This window comes from Homo sapiens, chromosome 18 (assembly GCF_000001405.40).
Source record: "Homo sapiens chromosome 18, GRCh38.p14 Primary Assembly".
NCBI lineage: Eukaryota > Metazoa > Chordata > Mammalia > Primates > Hominidae > Homo > Homo sapiens.
Window position 1 is genome coordinate 31,738,258 of NC_000018.10, and position 1,516 is coordinate 31,739,773.

General features: G+C 40.2%; 1 annotated feature.

The window, feature by feature from the left end:
• Nucleotides 1-1,200: an enhancer, noted in NCBI's record as "P300/CBP strongly-dependent group 1 enhancer chr18:29318221-29319420 (GRCh37/hg19 assembly coordinates)". NCBI's record gives its function as "activates an origin of replication core promoter dependent on BRD2, BRD4, P300/CBP, MED14 and CDK7 cofactors, with strong dependence on P300/CBP, by STARR-seq in HCT116 cells {active_cell/tissue: HCT116}" and the evidence as "EXISTENCE:reporter gene assay evidence [ECO:0000049][PMID:35650434]".

Below are 1,516 nucleotides of genomic sequence, written 5' to 3' on the forward strand. Positions count from 1 at the left end.
AGCTTTTCATAATTTCAGGAAAATGCTAAATAAGTTAAGCTTTATTGTTTCTTATCATTTACATTTAAAGCACATTAATTTACAGAAATGATACATTTTGCTCCAAAAAATATTTTTTGTGCATCTGAGGAAAGGGAAATGCTTATTTTTATAAAGAGAAGGCACAGTACTGAAGAATATTTCAAACTTCTTTTCAATGCTTCTAACTCCCTGCTTTCCTTGAGACAAAGACAGACTTACCTGTTTGGAGATAGAGGGGGCAAATAATGGGTTCATGTTTGGTTCTCTCTCACTCTTGCTGCAGACTCATTTCTCTTCTAGCTCACTGCCAAGCCATGAACAGTGAGCTACACAGTGAGTGTACCAGGGAAGGGCCTAGGGCTGCTGCCAGGAGCTCAAAGCACTGTGCAGTGGGTAGGTCTTGAGGCAAGCTAGGATTTTCCATATGACTGGAGAGACAAGTATCTTAATCTCAAATCAGGTTGAATGGGTGCAAAAGCTCTAGATTTGTGGTAGGACAGGAATTTAGGAAGATCGAATCCAACTCAGCATACTTATGTTTGGGGATAATTATTTGATGTTGTTCTCAGCCTGTTAAATATAGTGAACTCCATGTTCCTCTTCAAAGAATCAGTATGTCAGTATGTTCAGTTCTCTTACTCTGTGTTCTCCATTTTAAAGTTTAACTTTCTGGTTCTCTTCGCCCCCTTGCCTCTAGCTTCAGTAAACAACTTTCCTGCCAGTTCTAATCAGTAGTTCACATCTGTTCCCCTGGTCACCGGCTTTAACCTGAGTCACCCCTGGTCACCTGCTCTGTCCTGACTCATCCTGAGTCACCCGTTCTGTAACCGCCTTTCCCGCCAAACTACTCACCCCGCCACTCTGGCTCGTACCCCTGCTCTCTTTAAAATAGCCAATGGGAATTACCTTAGACTGTGTGGTCTAACCCTAGCCAATAAGGGAACGACACAGCAGTAGGAGCTACCTGTGTCAGGAATAAAAACCCCTTCTCCTCCCTTGTTCAGGTGTGCTCTTGCCATTGCTCCATCCGCCAGTCATGCCCTTCTATAGAAGTAAAAATTGCCTTGCTGAGAAAATTAACTTTATGTGAGAGTGCTATTTCTTTGGCAGCACCGAAAATTTATTTATAACAAGCCTCATAGGGCTCTATGTCATTTTTTTTCCAAATTTATTAGAAGGCCCGAAGAAGTATATTTATGTTGGCACAGGCCCACCCCAACCCCTACACAATCACCAAATCACCCACTTCATAGTCTTGAAGAGTCCAAATTAAAAGACTACTGGAAATTATATCTCTGCATTTAACCTTAAATAATACTGGCCAAGGGGGGAAGAACAGATTACTGAAATTCTGAGTAAGCATCTAAATTCAACACTAGATGTCTCTATCCTGATATTTTGAATTATATGTAAAACCTTTTTTTTCTGTTTTATATTCTTCCTAAAAAAAAATAGTAATAAATGCCAGATATTTCACCCTAGATTATCATTAGCC